We start from the raw sequence: 21,144 nt of genomic DNA, 5'->3' as shown, positions 1-21,144 counted from the left end.
CGAAGAGTCGGCGCCCGGTGGGGTCTCCATCAGGTGCTGGGGAATAGAACTACCAGGCACATGAACAAAGCAACTTTCAAGTTCAAAAAAATCAATACGAAAAAAATAAAACGACTTTCACATCGTAGTCACTATTTTTAACTCTGCTATTCAAAGAAAAGGCCTAAGTGCTAATTATGTCAGGGGAAAAAAAAACAGGTTCTGGAACTCTCCTTTCATCCATAAATAAATCGTTTCGGTCGACATGAGCAAGTGCAGTAACTAGCTCATCCAAGTGGTCAAACTTTAAAATTATACAGCCCTTGTGTGTGGCTAAGACAGACTCATTTACGCAGAAGCCTTGCGGCCATGGTACTCCCTGTGCCAGGGCCACAGGGACCTCAACGGTCTTGCTACTCCTGCAAGGCTGACTCCAGGGCTGGGGAGGGAGGCCGCACCTGTTGTATCCGATGGGCTTGTGGTTGCAGGGCTCCCAGAGGTTGGTTCCGGCCACACAGCAGTCCACGTAGTAGCCCAGCAGGTCCTCCTCATGCTTAGGTCGGTCCCACTGCACCACCACCGACGTCTTGGTGTTTCGGGAAGCAAGAACCCGACCCGGAGCAGAAGGGACAACTTTTCGTAGGAGACAAAAGGAGTGGTGAAATGGCATCAGAGCTTTGGAAGCTACAGCAGAGATCTTCCGGCCCTTTTCACAGGGAACTGGACAGCCAGACTGGGGGCTTTGGAAGAAATTCAGACAAGGGGTCCAGGAGTAGGAGAGGAGCCCCGGGCCGACCACCCGAGGGCCATTGGGAGGTGCTGGTCTCTCTGATCTCTTCCCAAGCTCCACACAACTCCTAGAGACACAGGATGACATCCATCCTGAATCCTCCTGTCTCCCATCAGAGCTGTTTAAAAGACTCTCTGTTGGCAGCAGGGATGAGGCTACCCGGGTAACAACTATTTTTTGGACTGGAAATTAACCAATTTTAAGAAAGTAAGACTCAATTTTATCAGATCTGTTGAAATCTCCGAGGGGCACTCAAAATTCGATCATGACCTAACCATCAGATCCTGTCATGTGGTGCCAGGCCCCACTAGTGGACTGCGGACTGAGGTCAGGTAAGGCCTTGGGGCCACCTGTGTCCTCCGTGCCGGCCACCTGGGCCACACACCCCACAGTGTGTCTCAGTGATGGACACTGTCATTTTTCATATGTGTCATAAAGCACAAGAAGGCAGGGCCTTGCTCAAAGACAGCTGGTCTTGTCAAGCCTGTGGTTCTGGGTATGAGTTCTAAGAGCTTCAGTTAAAACCAGAGCCAGATAGAAACTTGAGGATGCCCTGGAGGCAGCCGGCCTCGTGACCTTGTTCATTTCCGTATCTGGCTTTCTCAGGAAACACGACAGAGAGAGGGTGGAGGGCACCCAGGCACTCAGAACCGCGTTCCTGACACCAATGTGCCTCCCGTGAAGGCTTCTGGGGATTTCCAGGGTGCCTCCGCTTACATGCTAGTTAACTGCCATCCACGAAGGAGTTATGACTCCAGGGATTGCAATTCAAAATTTCTGTAATTTGTATTTGAAACCTTCCAAGAGGGACCTTCAAGCCAGATGGGCAAGAAACTCTAGTGCCTGGCTGGGCACCCTGGCTCACACCTGGAATCCCAACATTTTGAGAGGCCAAGGTGGGAGGATCCCTTGAGTTCAGGAGTTCGAGACTGGCCTGGGCAATATGGTGAAACTCTATCTCTACAAAACAAAAATTTTTTTAAAAAAGCATTAATTAAAAAAAGACAACAACAAAAAAGTCTAGTGCACTTAAAATTTGAATTACTTTAAAAGTGACCATTGCAGAGAAAAGGGAACACTTAAACACTGTTGGTGGGAATGTAAATTAGTTCAACTATTGTGGAAAGTAGTGTCATGATTCCTCAAAGAGCCAAAAAAAAAAAAAAAAAAAAGAACTATCATTCAACCTAGCAATCCCAGTACTGCATATATACCCAGAGGAATATAAATCATTCTACCATAAAGACATATGGATGCGAATGTTCATTGCAGCACTATTCACACAATAGCCAAGACATGGAATCAACCCAAATGCCTGTCAATGACATTGGATAGAGAAAATGCAGTACATATATACCATGGAATACTATGCAGCCATAAAAAAGAACAAGACCACGTCCTTTGCAGGAATATGAGTGAAGCTGGAGGCCATTATCCTTAGCAAACTAATGCAGGAACAGAAAACCAAATACCAAATGTTCTCACTCATAAGTGGGAGCTAAATGATGAGAACACATGGACACATAGATGGAAATACACACGGGGGACTATCAGAGGGTCTAGGGTGGGAGGAGGGAGAGGAGCAGGCAAAGTCACTAATGGCTACTAGGCTTGGTACCTGGGTGACGAAATAATCTTTACAACAAACCCCCATGACACAAGTTTACCTATGTAAGAAGCCTACACATGGACCCCTGAACCTAAAATAAAAGTTTTTTTAAAAGTTTAAATAAAACAATAAAAGTGACCGTTTCCTAAACATATTTTTCAACTCACTTACTGGTTTCATGAAAAGAAGATGGAGCTTTGGAGAAATGTCAAGAACCAAACAAAACATGGCAGAGAGCTCTTAATCTCTCGTAAAGTGAAGTTTTAAGTCCACTTGAACTTCAACTCGTTTATAACATTAATGTCTTTATTCACACAATTTAAGGCTATTTGGTGTCACCCCACTCTTAGTCCATCCTGACTTGGGGCCACCCAGTGTGACAGCTCACCGGTCACATCCTGGGCCTGAATGGGGGACGTTATCTCCGAAGGTTCGCTCAGGCCATGCCGGTTTGCTGACAGCACTCGGAACACATAAGACTTCCCTTCCATGAGGTCAAACACGGCATATCTCGGGGATCTCACAGCCGTCTGGGCGTTGACTCTCTGCCAGCTGCCGCTCCCCACCACGGACTACAAAGAGAAACAGAAACGAGACTGGCAGTGAAAACCGCGAGGTCCCCAGAGGCGTGTGGAGGAGGAAGAAATGCTCTGTTCTCGCTATCCCAGGACCACCAGGCGCGCCCGCTGCGTCTCGCACACAAAGGATGGTCATGCATCTTTTTTGAGTTTTATGAAACATGATGCCAATTTGGAGAAGGAAGTCACAAATACCCAAAGTTGATCATGTTTACTAATAAATTTTTTTCCATTAAAGTAAATAATTAAACCATAGAAAACATAAGGGAATCAATACATAGGTAGTAGTTTTAGCAAAATAGAACTAACCTGCAAATAATGAAAGATAATTTAGAAGTATATTCATAAAATTCTGTCATAACTCAGTGGTTCGCATTTCAATTTAAAGTTATTACCATATTGCAGCTACTTGCAGTAGTGATTAAATGACAGCAATCTAAATGGCTGTCAATACGGTCAGACACATGATGATATGTTCATAGATTAAAAACCTCATGGCCATTTAAATTATTGTATAAAGATCTTTAGTCTAATAAGAGGAATTATGTTATTTTGTGAAATCTAATACAGAATGCAAATTGTATGATACAACAAGAGCATTAAAATCTATGGAGAAAAAGACTATAAATATATGTACCACACGTTAATGTGGCTATTTTATATGGTGGAATTATTGCTCATTTTAATTGCATTCCATGTAACTTCTCTGTCTTTCCCAAATTTTATATACTGCTTGTTTAATTTTTATCTTTTGTAATTACTTTAAAAACCTTGATTACATGTTTTATCTTATTTTTTCACATAGAGATAAAACGCCTTTTTCGAAAGTAGTTTTGTGGTAGTAAAAGTTGGATATACACTGACCCTGGTAAGCCTGCTGAAAATTCAGATAGCAACCCAGACTTCTAGAAATCAGACTCATATTTGAAGGAGTTTTCTCTCATTTTGGTGAAAGTGAAAAGCCGCTATTTTGTATCTGCCCCGGGCGTTTGTGGTGGGAGCCCCCAGGGCGTCATGGGCCTCAGGCCCTTGCGACCCCAAGCGAGCGCAGTCCAGGTGTCTATAGGAGAGCTTCCTCTCCTACATCAGAATATGGGTCCACAAAGGGAAGGCTTATCCACTGCTGGGGGAATGTCATTAGCTCAGTCACTGTGGAAAGCAGTTTAGAGACTTCTCAAAGAACTTAAAGCAGAACTACCATTCCATCCAGCAATCCCATTACTGGGTATATGCCCAAAGGAAAATAAACCATTCTACCAGAAGATGCATGCACTTGTATTACCATCACAGCACTGTTCTCAAAAGTAAAGACATGGACTCAACCCTGCAATGGTGGACCGCAGAGAGAAAATGTGGTGCCCCCACACCATGGAATACTACACAGCCATAAAGAGGAAAGAAATCATGTCCTGTGCAGCCACATGGGTGCAGCTGGAGGCTGTTATCCTAAGTGAATTGACACAGGAACAGAAAACCAAATACTGCATGTTCTCACTTATAAGTGGGAGCTAAACACTGGGTACACACGCACACGAAGATGGCAACGATAGACACTGAGGCCTACCAGACAGAGCAAGGGCTGAAAAACCACCTATGGGGTGCTGTGCTCACTACCTGGGTGACGAGATCAACTGCACCTCGAAATCAGTATCACACAACATACCCCTGTCAGAACTTGCACAGGTACCCCCTGAAGCTAAAATAAAAGTTGAAATTATATTTTCTTAAAAATGTGTGTTTGCTGCAAAGGCATAAGAATGACACAATAGACTCTGGGGACTTGGGGGAAAGAGTGGGAGGGAGGCGAGGGATAAAAGACAACAAATATGGTGCAGCGTATACTGCTTGGGTGATGGATGCACCAAAATCTCTCAAATCACCGCTGAAGAGCTTACTCATGTAACCAAATACCCCCTGTACCCAATAACTAATGGAAAAATAAAATAATAAAAATTACAAAAAAAAAAGTGTGCCTGCCATGTCATCAATACTGACAGCAGGTAGTTCTGCCCACACACTGGCTCCACGGTGGAGTCCTCTCTCTAAAAATGTGTTTGCAGGACAGGTGTTGTGGCTTGCCTGGCCTGTAAACACACTAAAGTGTCTGTAATCCCAGCACTTTGGGAGGCTGAGGCAGGAAGATTGCTTGTGCCAGGAATTTGAGACCAGCCTGGGCAACATGGCGAGACCTCGTCTCTATAAAAAAAATTTAAAAATCAGCTGGGCGTGGTGGCACACACCTGTGGTCCCAGCTACTCTGGGTGTTAGGGGCCTGGGGCAGAAGGACTGCTGGAGCCCAGGAGGTGGAGACTGCAGTGAGCCATGACTGTGCCACTGCACTCTAGCCTGAGTGACAAAATGAGACCTGGTCTCAAAAATAAAAACAAAAAAGTGTTTGCAAACTTGGTGTTTCTGGTATTGGTGGAAGATGAGGGGAATGAGGGGCCTGAGAAAATACCTTCCACCCTAGGAGACCCCACAGAGGGACTGACCACTTGTATTTTCGTAACACAAATAACTATATTTTGTCACCCAGAATTAATGATGTAATGCTTTACCCTGAAATATTTCTAGTTTCTACCCCCCAGATAGCATACATTGCAAATAACCAGAGAAGGCCAGAGGGTCCTCCTCCATGCTGGAGTCTGAAATATGGTTCGTTTCCATTCCTGTTTCCGCCATGCTGCATTGAGTGGTGCTAGATGCGATTATTGTATTAGGTGGCATAAGCTTCTATATGTTATATTCTCTGTTACTTGCATACTACATATTGTATTACATATTACATATAAATTTTGTATCGCAAAACCCTAGTTACAGCCTTTGTAGGACATTGGAGTCTTATCCAACTATGGCCTACAACCCAACAGGGGGTCGTCACCAAGTCAGATTAGTGGGTCACAACCTGTGCCTTTAATGTCACCGGACAGGGTAAAAAGAGAATGTGTGCTGGGTGAGATTATCATTTGTGAAATTCTGTAGGTTACATACATATACGTGATGGCAGAACTGCAATATACAACGTCTTTTGTATTTCTTTGTATGCATTCAGGAAAAAAAAAAAGCTTTCTATTGGATATCTGGCGAGTCTAACCCTTCTGCGTCTTGTGTGCATTTCCTCTACACGATTGCCACCCAGTGGCCATACGGCTTGTGCACAAGCATGGCCATCGAGGAATCTGGAATCCCCAGCATGTAGGCGCCTGGAATGTTGCAGCAGGAAGGAGACGCTAGAACCCTCAAGCTCAGTCCTCCACACGGCAGTGAAGAACGCGGGCGCCCAGAGAGGGAAGCGACTCCCTGCTCACACCGAGGGGCAACGCCCAGCTAGGACGCAACCCAGCCCCCTGGTGCCAATTTCCGCCCCTGCTGCCGTGTGACCACAGCCCTAACCTCATTTTCCCCAGCAACGGTGCAGGGTCTGGACCCACTGATGAACTAGTAGGTCATCTTTAAAACACAGCAAACACGACAGTGTGGGGCCACGCAGAGATCACGACAGTGGGGGGCCACACAGAGATCATGACAGTGTGTGGCCACGTGGAGATCACGACAGTAGGGGGCCACGCAGAGATCACAACAGTGGGAGGCCACGCAGAGATCACAACAGTGGGAGGCCACGCAGAGATCACAACAGTGGGAGGCCACGCAGAGATCACAACAGTGGGGGGCCACGCAGAGATCACGACTGTGGGGGGCCACGCGGAGATCACGACAGTGGGGTGCCAGAGATCATGACAGTGGGGCCACGCAAAGATCACAACAGTGGGGGGCCACAAAGAGATCATGACAGTGGGGCCACGCAGAGATCATGACAGTGGGGCCACGCAGAGATCACAACAGTGGGGGGCCACGCAGAGATCACGACAGTGGGGGGCCACAAAGAGATCACAACAGTGGGGGGCCACGCAGAGATCACGACAGTAGGGGGCCACAAAGAGATCACGACTGTGGGGGGCCACGCAGAGATCACGACAGTGGGGGGCCACAAAGAGATCACGACTGTGGGGGGCCACGCAGAGATCACAACAGTGGGGGGCCACAAAGAGATCACGACAGTGGGGCCACGCAGAGATCACGACAGTGGGGGGCCACAAAGAGATCACGACTGTGGGGGGCCACGCAGAGATCACAACAGTGGGGGGCCACAAAGAGATCACGACAGTGGGGCCACGCAGAGATCACGACTGTGGGGGGCCACGCAGAGATCACGACAGTAGGGGGCCACAAAGAGATCACGACTGTGGGGGGCCACGCAGAGATCACAACAGTGGGGGGCCACAAAGAGATCACGACAGTGGGGGGCCACGCAGAGATCACGACAGTGGGGCCACGCAGAGATCACGACAGTGGGGGGCCACAAAGAGATCACGACTGTGGGGGGCCACGCAGAGATCACGACAGTGGGGCCACGCAGAGATCACAACAGTGGGGCCACGCAGAGATCATGACAGTGGGGCCACGCAGAGATCACAACAGTGGGGGGCCACGCGGAGATCACAACAGTGAGGGGCCACGCGGAGATCACGACAGCGGTGGGCCACGCAGAGATCATGACAGTGGGGGGCCATGCAGAGATCTACTTTTCCAGGACACGGGCCCGGAGTTTACCTTCTCAATGAAGTACATGAGCGGGTCCTTGCCACGGGGAGTGGGTGGCTCCCAGCTGAGGACGACATAGTTTCTGCTGATCTCGGAAGCGTGCACACCGGTGGGAGGCCCTGGAACCTGGGCGTCACCTGGAGGAATAATAAATTCGGTGAGTGCTGAAGGACCCCCATCAGCCTCGCTGCAGCCCACCTCGGGGCACTGGAGGACTCTGCCACGTGGGTGTTGAACTTGTTTTGTTTCTATTTGGGGAAGTCAAACAAACCCCAAAGATGCTTCCTTGGAACCAGAGGATAAGGCACCAATAAAGATCAGCCAGTTAGTTTTGCTTCCAATACAGATATAAGCCTGTTCATAGGAAAGGAATCTCACCCGAAAGTCTTCCAGAGATTCTGTTGGAAGAGGGGGAAGGATTTACCAGAAGAAACCAGGCATTGCACCCGAAATGGGGCTCTGACTGTGTTGGGAATCTGTGCAGAGAACATATTCACAGTCTGTCTTCTGAAATACAGAAGCACCGCGGATGGAGGCGGCCCCACCTCTAAGGATCCCCTCTGGGTTCTTTCTTTATACCGTGTGCCCTCAGAGCACTTAAATGACACATCTACTTCTAAAACACCTTGCCTGCTCCTCCCTCAAAAGCTCAGTACCATATTCACAGGCACTGTATTCTATGTCTGCATGTTTGAATTCTGGAGTGATGTTGATAAGCCTTTTGCAAATAACTTATGCTAGAATATTTGCAGTCAGAGATGCTCCATATGCCTCTCTTCTGACATACATCTTTTTTAAATATACTATGAGGTGTGGGGATTTCTGTTTGAATTTATAGGAGATTTTCATAAGGAGTGGAGGTGGAGGTTTTTCCAGACCCACAGTTCTTGAAATTGTGATAAAAAATATTATGAACCTTCAATTAGATTAGCACATGATTAAAACGGTCTGAAACCTCCCCGGGACATCTCTGAGCCATTCTCAAAACCCAGTTGCTCCCTCAGGACTCTGTAGCAGGCCAGGAACTGAACATGGAAATAGTACAAAGCAAGACTGGGTTTCGTTTCCTGAGCCCTGTTGCACAGCGCATTACAGGTCAGAGGCAACGCAGGCTGAGCTGGGCTCATTCTGGTAAGGTGCTGAATTTCACACAAGGAGTCAGTGTGTCTCCGGAAAATGCAGAGGGTAACTGGGGCGGGGGACACCCCACAGGCCTGCTCTCCACCCGTGCACCGTGTCCACACCTAGATACCCACAGAAAAAAGCATTCCAGAGAGAAGATGCAGAAAACTCATCTTTCTGTAACACTTGCCGAAATTCCAAAACTGAATCCTGGTTTATTTCAGAGGTGCTGATGAGGGAAGCAAACCAAGGGGACAGAAGGAACAAGGCAATGAACAGAAGCAGCAAGCAGGTGTGAGCCGCTGACAGCAGCATCTCGTTCACACTTTCGGAACTGTCTTGCTGCCTTTGCCCCTGCATGTAGCAAAAGGCCCCGAGAAAGTGGAGTGAGAGACAGTTCCTTTGATGACAAGGTGAGAAGGAAGAACACAGCTTTGTCAGCAGGGGATCCCCGGCTGGGGCAAGACATCTGACTTATTCTTCACATCTTCATCAGCCTGGGCAATGTGATCACACAAGCCTTGCGGATTTGCAGATTCTCCAACCATGGAGAGAGGAGAAAAGGGTTCAAAAGGGTCCCTCGAGCCAGGGAGAGGGAAGCACAGGGGTGGGCATGAGTGATGACCCTGCCCTGAGAGGGGAGCCGAGGGAAAACAAATGAACGTTAAGCACACATGAGACACCACTAGGCACATGTAAGATACTGCTGAGCACACGAGAGACACCGCTAAGCACACGCAAGATGCCGCTAAGCACACGTGAGATGCTGCTAGTCACACATGAGATGCCATTAGACATATGCGAGATGGTGCTAAGCACATGCGAGATGCCGCTAAGCACACATGAGATACTGCTAAGCACACGTGAGATGCCACTAGGCACATGTGAGATGCCGCTAAGCACATGCTAGATGCCACTAAGCACACATAAGATACCGCTAAGCACACGTGAGACACTGCTAAACACACATGAGACACTGCTAAGCAAAGGCTAGACACTGGCCAACGGTTCTACCCCCAGGGCACTGATGCTGCCCTCACCCAATTGAGTATTGGGCCAAGTCAATACTAAATGAACCAGTGAGAGATATATAAACACACATGCTTTTTGTATTATTATATGTTATATGCATTATTAATATATAATATATATGATTGTTTTAAAATGCTTTCACATTCAATATCTTATTTTGGGTTCTGTTCATGTGTGGAGGAAGATACTATTGGTTTCCTCCACTTAAAAATCCAGAAATTGATCTCATAAAAACATATCACTTTCCTAAGATCGCACAGCTACTGGGTGGCTGAACTGGGGTCGAGGCTTAGGTCTTCTGGTTCCAACTTCTGTATTTTGTTCCCTCATCCACCTAAGGAAACTACAACCTCCCCAGGAGATTTTTCTCTAAGTAAATGAAACACCGAGTTTATTTTAGGTTTGACAGAATTGAAGGGTCCTGCAGAGCACAGAGCAAATGACTGAGCATGTGGGCTGCAAATGCCCCGGCCCAGGAAAGCACAGCCAATGCTTGCATACATAATTAGGAGAGAATAACACAGTAGAACAGTAGAGTAAAAACGCTCTTATTATATTCTGTGAGGGTCTATTCTGGCCTTTCCAAAAATACAGTGTCCATTTTTCAACGGAGCAATTCAACAAATACTGGGCAAGTTGGGTTGATGGTAAGGCAAGCGCATGGATAGCCATTCAAATGTGTGAAGGAAGACATTGCCCAAGATTAAAATGGTGAGAAAAACTCGGCAAAAAGTCAAAAATAGCAGAGGAGCCATTTTTAGCCAGCAACAGTAATGAGTTTCTGTTTCATTAAAACAAGGGGCATTTACCAAGTATTTTCTAGCTAAAGCAATGGTAAAAGAAAAAAAAATCAGCTGAAGAAAAAAGACACAGGTAGAAAAGGGAACTTCCTAATAGCAAATTCTTGAATCCCGAAATGGTTCGCTTCGAAACATTATAGATCTCTTTCTTTGGCTAAAGATTTTTTTAAGTTAGAGGACATATTCCTTGTTTAAAATGGCTGAGGTGAACAGATAAACTTTCCAAAACCCCATATCAACACAGCAGAATTTCAATTTCATACCCAGTTTGTTTCTGACCATGGAAATTGCCTGTTCAATGCACACAAAGCGTCACGTCAGAGAACTGAAGCCGGGGAGGCTGAGCCTCAGGCAGTGTCCACGTCTCGTCAAGCAATTTTCCATCTAAGTCTCACCCTCAGCCTCCCATAACCCACCGCATAAACACAGACTTGGAAAAGTCCCCTGAGGATGAATAAATCCTGCCACATTCACAACCGCCTCCCACGGAGGAGGACACAGGCCCAGTCAGCCAGAAACCTGCCTTGCTGAAAGCAAGGAAAACACGAGACCATGGAAAAGAGCATCTGTGTCTTTACTCCAACGGGAAATGAGAGCTACAGTGTCTGGATGCCAAACTTCCACTTTATCAACTGGCAAACCAAGCCTCAGGACACGCGCTCTTTCTTCATTTGACACCTCATGAACAGCGGGCTTCGTGTACCCCACCACAATCATGTCTCACTAGAAAGATAGACTCTCTCCAAAAAGGCAGGGCTTCTGCCCTGGGGAAGGTTCATTCCATTACATGATTTCCCTTCCCCAGTGCTCTTCTCAATGGCCTTTACAGAAGGCAAATTTCATCACAGATAAGTGACATTTATAAAGCAAGTTACACCTTCTCACCGTGGGTCATTTTTGCCAGGCTGGATTCCTACACATCCACTCAGCGTGATCCGGGCTGCCCACCTCCTCCCTGATCTGTCTGCTCGTGAGGAGTGAGAAGGGGGACTGCCTGTTCTTCCCACGTGGCAGAACCAAACCTCATTCTGCACGGGCTGGGCTGCCTGTTCCTCCCGCAGGCCAGAACCAAACCTCATTCTACATGGGCTGGGCTGCCTGTTCCTCCCGCAGGCCAGAATCAAACCTCATTCTGCACGGGCTGGGCTGCCTGTTCCTCCCGCAGGCCAGAACCAAACCTCATTCTACACGGGCTGGGCTGCCTGTTCCTCCCGCAGGCCAGAACCCACCTCATTCTACACGGGCTGGGCTGCCTGTTCCTCCCGCAGGCCAGAACCAAACCTCATTCTACACGGGCTGGGCTGCCTGTTCCTCCCGCAGGCCAGAACCAACCTCATTCTACACGGGCTGGGCTGCCTGTTCCTCCCGCAGATCAGAACCAAACCTCATTCTGCACGGGCTGGGCTGCCTGTTCCTCCCGCAGGCCAGAACCAAACCACATTCTGCAAGGGCTGGGCTGCCTGTTCCTCCCGCAGGCCAGAACCAAACCTCATTCTGCAAGGGCTGGGCTGCCTGTTCCTCCCGCAGGCCAGAACCAACCTCATTCTGCACGGGCTGGGCTGCCTGTTCCTCCCGCAGATCAGAACCAAACCTCATTCTACACGGGCTGGGCTGCCTGTTCCTCCCGGAGGCCAGAACCAACCTCATTCTACACGGGCTCGTCGGCCTCAAGCAGGCCTTCTTTTCTAACAGTATTTGGAGCCATTTTTCAGTCATTCAAATATCCATGTTTTAATCATCCGAAAAATGGGGAGGGTTTATCATGCATGAGACAGAATACCAGGCTGACTCAAAAAGCCAGATGCCCAGGAGACTGCAAGAAGTTGTCCTCCTCAAATCCCTCACTTTCATTCCTTATGTATTGAGTGTCCTTCCTGAGTTCTAGGTCCTTCTGCAGCCAGAGGATTTGACTAAGGCTTAAAGGTTCCCTTGGCTTGACCAGAACTCTCAACGGTCTTCTTTTGGGAGTTTATGTCCCTCATGGGAAACATAGGGACATACATTTGTTTTGAGATCCTAGAGAAAAATCTTCATGTGGCAGAACATGCAATGTGTGGATACTAGTTGGGGATCCATCTGCTTCAGATGTAGAAAACCAATCCAGAAAACGCTTTTGAGTCTGCAGCTCTAGGAGAGAGAACACGGCTGTGATTTTAGCGAGCAGCTCAAAATCACCTCTCTCTAGCCAGTGGCTCCACACTGATTTGAAATCTTTCTTTTTATGTTTTCACCCATGGCACTCTATGAACTCTAAGTCCAGTTAAAACCTTTTGATTTCTAGTTAATAATGTTGGATTCTCCTTAACACGTCATTCTTTCTAAAGGTCTCTAAAAGGAAAATCAGGAAGAAGAAATATCCACAAAATCAAATATACATAAGGACCAAGAACATCATTTGGCAGGAAAGACTCAATCCATTTCAGTTAAAATGTCAGGAATAAAATTTTTGCTTAGAAAATGTAAAATGAAATCGATTTCACAATGCAATCTGTGAGAAAGGATCTTACATCACCCAGGAACCAAGTCTGAGCTTTAGTTTGGTTTCTTCTCTACAAGTCCCTGAAAGAACGCCTTTGTAAACCCCAAATGAAAGGTGAGTCTAAGAGTCACCAATCCTTCACCCTTTCTCCCACCCTCTCACTCTGTCTTGCTTGATTTTTTCTTTTTTTTAACTTCTATGGACACTGGGCTTGCAGGCCTGACCTGCGGTTTTCATTTTTCCATGCAGAGGCCGTGCCCAGTAGGGGGCGTTCTCTGTCCATCTCTCCCATCTCTAATTACAACTCCAAATCCCCAGGGGCTGAGCAGCTGGGGTGATGAGGTGCTACTTACCTTCAAGGTCATCCTGATAAATGGCAATCTCCTTCTCTCCCTCCAAATGAACGGCTGCGGAGAGAAAGGTTGACACTCGATTTGACATGCGAAGTTTTCCCCAAAAGCCCGTTTTCCCTCATTCTGTGCCAGCTCTGCATCTCCTCTGCATTAGGACTACAACCTGTGAGTCCTCTGGGGGCATCAGAGCTGATTCTGGAAGTGTCCTGGTAACAGTTAGCACTTCTCAGCTCTTGGTGGTGGATGCAAAGGACCATGTGCGTAAGGAAAATATAGTGGCTCGCTTACAACCATAACGAAGGGCCCAGTCCCATTAAGGAATCTGTGTCATGCAAAATTAAAACTCAGAATAGGATGGCCTTCTAAGTGTCATTATGTGTTGAAATTATATCACCAATGGAATAAAAAAAAGGTCTAATTCTGAGCCAATTTAACTGGATGCCAGCAAAGAGCTTTCTGGAGGAGAGGCACATTCATTTTAGAGTGTACGTCAGCCCGTTTTCATTCCTGTAGTGATGTTGGTGGAGATGTCAGAGAACGTTGTAACAGCCTGTGCTATGCTCTGCACACAGGGCATTCTCAGGGCTCACATCGAGTTGGGAGGGAAAGAGACAACAAATCACACACAAAACAGCCAAAGCTTCCTGGGCACAGTGGATACTTAGGCGTGAGCAGCTTACCTTGTAACCTTCTGAGGTCCAAGGGGTCAAGTGCAGCCACCGCATCAGAGACCCTGGAGGGTCGGCTGATGCCCGCACTGTTCACTGCCCTCACTCGGAATATGTAAGACCTTCCTTCAAAAAGCCCTGTGACCGGGTATTTGCAGATTTTCACCGGTGCATCATTGCACTGCACCCAATTATTCGTTCCTACTTCACATCTTCAAGTTAAAAAAAGAAAAACAACAGAGAATAGCAAATGTGGCAACCTACTAAATATACATAGGTATATGCATATATGCACACACTGATTATAACAGGACAATATCTCACGCCAGTAAAATCTTTGCTGCTAAGATATTGACTTGTATAGATAAACATTAGAAGACAGAGCTATTTAGAAAATGCAATATATATATTATATGTAATATCTATTATATATGTAATATATGCCCATGAATCTTAATAATTTATAGCTGAAGATCAATTTCTGTCATCAAACACATTTAGGCAAAAATCTCCTCAAAAAATTATTTTAGACGCATCCTGAACAGTTCTTGTTCCGACTTACGTGACATAGTCACGGCACCCCTAAGCTGCGGCTTGGCCCGTCTGAGGCCCAGGCTGGGGAAACAGGCTCAGCCCCCTCTGCCTCCAGCTCCCGTCCCACTCTGTGAGACCAAGGGCCCAGGTCCCTGGGAAAGCTGGCTTACAGTCTCCTAGAATAATGTTAGGACATTTCTTTCTAGAATGCCTCTCATGTGGAATTTAGAAGTCTTTTGAAAATATTAATTCCTGACCAGAAACCTGGAAATATAGGAAAGATTAACCTCTGTTTTTCACAGGTTGAAAAATGTAAGAAAAAAACCTTCACATGAAATTCCCAGGAGAAAAGAGCTAGTTCAGAAAATCAGTGTTGGGAGGGAGCACTTCAACCCCAGAGTGGTGCCTTCATCTGGGAAAGAACCAGCTCTCCTCCTAAGTATCCAGCACTTTTAATGAAAGCTGTCTGATCCACATGTCATGGGCTGTTTTAGCCGAAGAGAACAACAGGTCAAAACCAAAAGTCTGATGGGAAAACCTGCAACTTCAGGCAACAGCTGGCAAGTCGTAAGCCCAAAGGAAGGGCAGAGGAGGAGCTGCACCCCCCACTTCCAAATGCACCCTCATTCCCAAAGTGTTCCGTTGCTTTGAATTTCATGTTTGCGCTTTTTGTAATGAGGGGAGGAGCGTGGATTGTTAGCTGAGACAGTGCAGGAAATGGTTTTTGTCAACATGGCGGGAAAACTTATCAGCTGTCCCAGGAGAAAAGAAGATCGTTTTGAGGGTTTGTTTTTCTTGCTGTAGTTGCTTAATTCAAGGTAAGCCCGGAACAGCACTCCCTGCAGAACTGTCTCTAGCATATCAAAATATTAGTTTGATGGCACAGGTCTCAGCCAAACAAGTAGTTTTGTTGGAAGAGAAAAGAGAATTTAATCAGCATAAACAAACAAACAAACAAAAGCCAATTCCCTCATTTTTTCCTAAGATAATCACCTTATTTTTCTGTTTAATATACATATAAAATTTTGCATTTCTACCAGGAACCATCCTTTGTGGTTTTTTTGTTTTGTTTTTTTGTTTTTTGTTTTGTTTTGTTTTTTTTGATGGTGGAGTCTCACTGTGTTGCCAGGCTGGAGTCCAGTGGCGCAATCTTGGCTCACTGCAACCACCGCCTCCCTGGTTCAAGAGATGCTCCTGCCTCAGCCTCCCAAGAAGCTGGGATTATAAGCACATGCCAGCACACCCAGCTAATTTTTGTATTTTTAGTAGAGACAGGGTTTCACCATGCTGGCCAGCATGCTCTTGATCTCCTGAACTTGTAATCCGCCCGCGTTGGCCTCCCAAAGTGCTGGGATTACAGGCGTGAGCCACCGTGCCCAGCCAGAACCATCCTCTTTTACTCTCTGTCTAATTTCTAAATTCATTTTCTTCAACTATAATTTACTCCAAGAACTGGAATTTGTATTTAGGGCATAAATTACATATCCAGTAAACCCACTGGCTCTGTGCAGTACACTTCCCAGGCTCCAAGCGCTGTCCCCAGTACGGGAAGTCAAAGAATTCAAACTCCACTGGCTCCAACGATGACCTAAATGTAAGTTATCAACTCAAACACAAACTCCAGTATTTCGAAGCTCAAGATTTTTCACTTGGAAACAAGAAGAACACCTTATTCCTCAGTAGAGAAAAGGAAAGAACTTTGTTAGAAATGAGCTGGCATTCTTCGCAGCACTTTGTCTCTCAGGAGGGAAGGACAGTTCCAAGCTTTAATTCTGCTAAAGCCAGGGCCCTGTCCGGTACGGGGCACAGCCCGGACCTCAGCAGAACCACAGCGCGGGGCTCAGAGTGAGCCTGAAGACGTTGGTGGGATTGGTTACTGGGTGTGCAACAGGCAAACGAGCCTCCACTTTCAACAAAAAGAAACCCAGTGTGGTTATGCTGGGCTCAGCCTACTTGGCCGTATTTACCAATTACCTAAATAGGAACTTATACAACCAATTAGCCATGTACCTAGAGCCAATCAAAAAATGGGAACGTCAACCTGCATTGAGAAAAATTTCTCAATATATTGTCCATGGTAAGATTCCATGCGGAACGTTCCCATCCCCGGGAGAATGCAAGACGCTCACCGGTCCACAAAATAGCCCATGACGGGGCTCTCAGTGGTGGTGTTGGGCGGCTTCCAGGTCACGATGACGTAGTCCCGGTTGGCGTCGTGGCACTGCAAGTCCATGGGTGCACCGGGGGCCCCTGTGACCAGCGGGTCAGCATCTTGGGGCAGGGAGAGAAAAGGCACACGCCTGTCATTTAAAGGCTGGGGTCACTGCAAAGCCTGTTTACAGCTCCTCCAAGCTCCAATTCTATCCCCTTGATTTGACCACTGTTTAATTCTCATGTTCAAAGTACTAGAATATTTCTTACTCTGGCGGGTTGGTGACAAGAAATATAAAATTATGTATGAATTAAAAAGCTTCAAAACATAGAATCCTTGATAAAACACTGAGTCTACAATTTTTCGTCATTAGATCCTGAATTACAGGTCATCTTCTCTTGGTCCTGCTATGGTGCATAACGGCACGTTGGCAAAAATGTGCGGATGAAACAGTGACAATAATCTGGCATTTCTAACACCTGAGAAATATCACCTGAGATACTCTTCTATTTCAAAATCCTTAGGAAATTGGGCGATTTACTCTTTTCGCCAACTTTGAGCAAATATTTGGGACAATATTGCATCATTCGTTTCTCAGTCTATTGATGACCCTAATGCAATTAGGTTTAATTACAGCTGCATGAAAACCAACAGAGCAACATAGAAAGTTAATACACTGAATGTGAACCTTCTTATCTAAACTATGTATTTATTCAGCAGCCCTGGCTGCCCTGTGACGCATGCTTAGCAGGGTGAGCACTATCCAGTTTCCTGCTCACATATCTTCAGGGTATTAAAAGCTGAGGATTTCCTGACATTGAGCCAAATGGTTTCCTCTCACATTCAAAAGCCTCAGAAAGCGATGAAAATGGTTAAACTCCCCACCTTTGCCTTATTTTCCTCCTGTTGCTGGTGCTGAGTGAGCAAGGCGATTTGAGCCGTGTTGCATTTATTGCCTTTTTATGGGGCGGAGCATCATACCAGCAGGCACATGCAGAAGACGGAAGGGACATTTAACGCCCGCCTAACAACAGCAGTGAAACTTGGCGGGAGTGTCTAACCTCACAGACTCGCAAGCTCAGGCTATCGTGTGGGAAGTGAGGAGGGTGAGATACGTTTGGTTGACATTTCTTCTCTTTCTTTTCAGATGAAATATTCTTTAATGATACAGTCCTTCCTTTAAGCTCTGATCTAATGGATGCAATGGAAAAAGTAATCATGAAGATGTATGGATGCGTCCTGCACCCCACTGGAGCTGGAGGCAGGTGGGAAGGTGAGAACTTGGGCAGCAGGTAAGGATGCCCGGCTGATCGGGATGGAGCCGGGAGCCCGGGGACCCGGAGAGCAGCAGCAGCTACATGGCGCAGGAGCGCTCTGACGCCTTCTTTGTAGGTCAGCTGTGCCTCAGCAAGGAGGCTGCCCCTAAACCCAGAGGCTGCTGAGGTGCAGCCCAGGGCAGAAGCAGGAGGGGAGTGAAACAGACACTGATAAAAGCGTAGGTGGGGCCGGGCGCGGTGGCTCACACCTGTAATCCCAACACTTGGGAGGCCGAGTTGGGGGGCCAATCACTTATGATCAAGAGTTCGAGACCAGCCTGGCCAACATGGTGAAATCCCATCTCTACTAAAAATATAAAAATTAGCCGGGCGTGGTGGTACATGCCTGTAGTCCCAGCTACCGGGGAGGCTGAGGCAGGAGAATCGCTTGAACCCAGGAGGCGGAGGTTGCAGTGAGCCGAGGTCGCGCCACTGCACTCCAGCCTGGGCGACAGAGTGTTAATCCATCTCAAAAACAAAACTAAAAAAAAAGGAGGAGTGGGAGTAGGTGGGCCCCTTCTGCTCAGTCACATGATGCCAAAAACACTACAAAGTTATAACAGGAACTCAGGTTCCAGGCTCCAGCAAAATTTAAATCTGAGCTTCTCTACCCTAGAGACATTTCTCCTGCCTCTGAGCCTCCATGGATTCATCTGGAAAACTGAGAACAGTATTTCCTTTTGCTATCACTGTAAGAATTCCAGCTTATATATACATGGATGTTTATGTAAGTATAGGCACATACATGCACACCTATAGGCTGTATACAATAGGCATTTTATAAATATATATATCTGTATATCACAAATATTGTCTTTCTTTTCATAAATGGAATGAGTGAAGCTTCCCTAGTGAGTCTGCTGTGAAGACGAAATCCGTGTAGGACCCCAGCACACTGCCTGACATAAAGCGTCTGGTGATGACAGCTGTCATGGCCACAAGTGTCTTAAGCACGAGTTTCACTGAAGTGGGTGGTGGAGGTCACAGCACTGGCTGTCATCATCATCACATCTGCCTCTCTTAAGCCAAAGTCCAGAGGGAATGAGTCGCTGGCAGGAGAGTAAGGAAGCTCTTCCCTGGGACTCCAACACTGTGCCCCTCTTCATCCTCGGGCTACGTTCCCTGAGAATGAGTAAATCTGGGGCACTCACTCTTGGGAATCGTTTTTCAAATGCTAATGACTATATGAACGATTCAAGAGACAAAAAAATGATGATTCTGGTCTATTCCGGATTGTGTCCCGATTCTTCCGTCTGCTCATCGGCAGGAAGCACCTGGCGTGCCCATGCACTGAGGGAAAATCGGGGCCGCATGGGGTCTCCAAGGAGCAAAGTGGTCTCACACCCTCTGGACTCCTTTTCCCAGCGCCTCCCTCCTCCCAGGGCTGCCTCCCCTCCCCGGGCACACACAAGGTCTGCACCCTGAGAACCCTGCTGCCCGCACCTCTGACAAACAGGAAGGCGCTGTGGTCGCTGACGCCGCCCCGAGACACGATGCGCAGGGTGTACAGGCCCTCGTCGTCCTTGTGCAGGTGGCTGAAGGACAGGGAGGCCTGGCCTTCTCCAAAGAACATCTTCGTCCACTTGGACTCTTTCAACAGCACGTCTGAAAGAGCGTTAACACGGAAGGTTTGCATCCAAAATCACCCCAGCAGGCAAAGAAAGCCTCGGGGACACCAGCGTCGTCTCAGAGCGGGACAGGACAGTCGAGCTGGACACCACGGAAGGCAGAGCCTCAGCCTGGTAAAATCCCAACAGCTGCACTTCGTGGAAGCACACGCGTGAACTGAGCACCCACAGCCCAGAACACAGGCTGCCACTTGAGTGGGTCAAAGTGGGACGTGCTGCGAGCGGCCGCCAGCTTTGTCCTCAGGTAAACTGGGTTCACCTGGGGGCCCGCTGCTTCTCTGCTGGACGGCCACTGCCCCAACCGGCTTCCCCCCGCCCGTGGGGGATTACAGGGGTGTGCAGCTGAAGGGGCTACTGTCACATCTCCAAAGAACCCAGCATAGACCCTCCATATCATCAAACTCTAAAAACAAAATGACTGGATGGAAGGAAGAAAAGAATCTCAATACGACTAAGGTAGCATTTCTGTCTAGAAATAGTACACAAGCTGCTAACCAGCCCCTTCCATGCAGTAATGTGCATTAAACTGAATCTAAATGGCACGAGATCATTCTTTCTGTCACTGTACGAGCGCTCAGTCTCTAAGTGGCTGCTCTAGGTTCGGGGTCTCCCTCTCCAGGATTCTCCTGGATGAAGTTCAAGGCGAACGGTGGGCCACCAAGTCCTCTACAGTCCCTCAGTTTGTTTCGCTGTCTGGAGCTGACCCAGTGGTAGAGACAAAAGCCACATTGACACCCACATTTAAAGGACATTTCCGTCCAAAAGCCTCCTGGTGTGTGCCCGGGTCTGGGCCGTGTCCTACTCACCATCGCGGTACCACTCGGCGCGCGGCTGCACCCGCTTCAGGTCCGGCGTCACCAGCATGGTGCACTTGAGAGTGACCGTCTCGCCTTCCCTCCTGAAGGTGACCCCAAACTTCTCCAAAAACTGGACGTCGAAGTGCGTGTACGGAATCATCGATGACAGGGGCACTGCACAGAAACGATGGAGGCTTTCAGGGCCGAAGGGCAGAGAGCATGAAACGATGGAGGCTTTCATGGCCGAAGGGCAGAGAGCATCTTTCTTTTTTGGGGGCGGGGGGCGGGGGGACGGAGTCTCGCTCTGTTGTCCAGGTTGGAGTGCAGTGGTGCGACCTCGGCTCACTGCAGGCTTCGCCTCCCGGGTTCACGCCATTAGGGCAGAGAGCATCTTTGACAGCAGACACACTCAGACCGTCACCGCAAAAGCACGTCTTTGTCACCGCCCCACAGCATGGAACACCCGTAGCCAGGTCCGTGCTCCACACGGAATGTCTGTGTCCCCCCAGAATTCCAGTGTTGAATCCCTGACCCTCAATGGGACGGTGTAAGGAGGTGGGGCCTTTGGGAGGTGATGAGGGTGGGATGAGATCGTGAGAGTGGGACCCCAGGGGAGAATGAGCGCCCTTGGAAGAGGAGGAAGAGGCCAGACCTTCCTTCCTTCCACGTGAGGACACCGTGAGCAGGTGCCGTCAGCAACCCGGG

The 21,144-nt window shown here is 47.8% G+C and overlaps 1 protein-coding gene and 1 non-coding gene across 2 annotated transcripts in view; both read right to left on the bottom strand.

The window, feature by feature from the left end:
* Positions 1-21,144, bottom strand: part of MYOM2 (myomesin 2) — a 100,411-nt gene that overhangs the window by 52,499 nt on the left and 26,768 nt on the right. The window contains exons 9-16 of the mRNA NM_003970.4: positions 20,449-20,613; positions 19,458-19,619; positions 16,676-16,817; positions 14,025-14,224; positions 13,345-13,398; positions 7,568-7,695; positions 2,767-2,950; positions 438-612 (exon numbers count right to left, since the gene is read on the bottom strand). Coding sequence (NP_003961.3) covers positions 438-612; positions 2,767-2,950; positions 7,568-7,695; positions 13,345-13,398; positions 14,025-14,224; positions 16,676-16,817; positions 19,458-19,619; positions 20,449-20,613 — 1,210 coding nt within the window. The remainder of the gene's footprint in view (positions 1-437; positions 613-2,766; positions 2,951-7,567; positions 7,696-13,344; positions 13,399-14,024; positions 14,225-16,675; positions 16,818-19,457; positions 19,620-20,448; positions 20,614-21,144) is intronic.
* Positions 16,318-16,369, bottom strand: MIR7160 (microRNA 7160). Its single transcript, NR_106983.1, has one exon. It is a non-coding gene; the product is annotated as a microRNA 7160 (primary transcript).

This window comes from Homo sapiens, chromosome 8, assembly GCF_000001405.40.
Source record: "Homo sapiens chromosome 8, GRCh38.p14 Primary Assembly".
Classification (NCBI taxonomy): domain Eukaryota; kingdom Metazoa; phylum Chordata; class Mammalia; order Primates; family Hominidae; genus Homo; species Homo sapiens.
The sequence above is the reverse complement of the archived record's forward strand: the minus strand, read 5'-3'. Positions and strand labels throughout refer to the sequence as shown.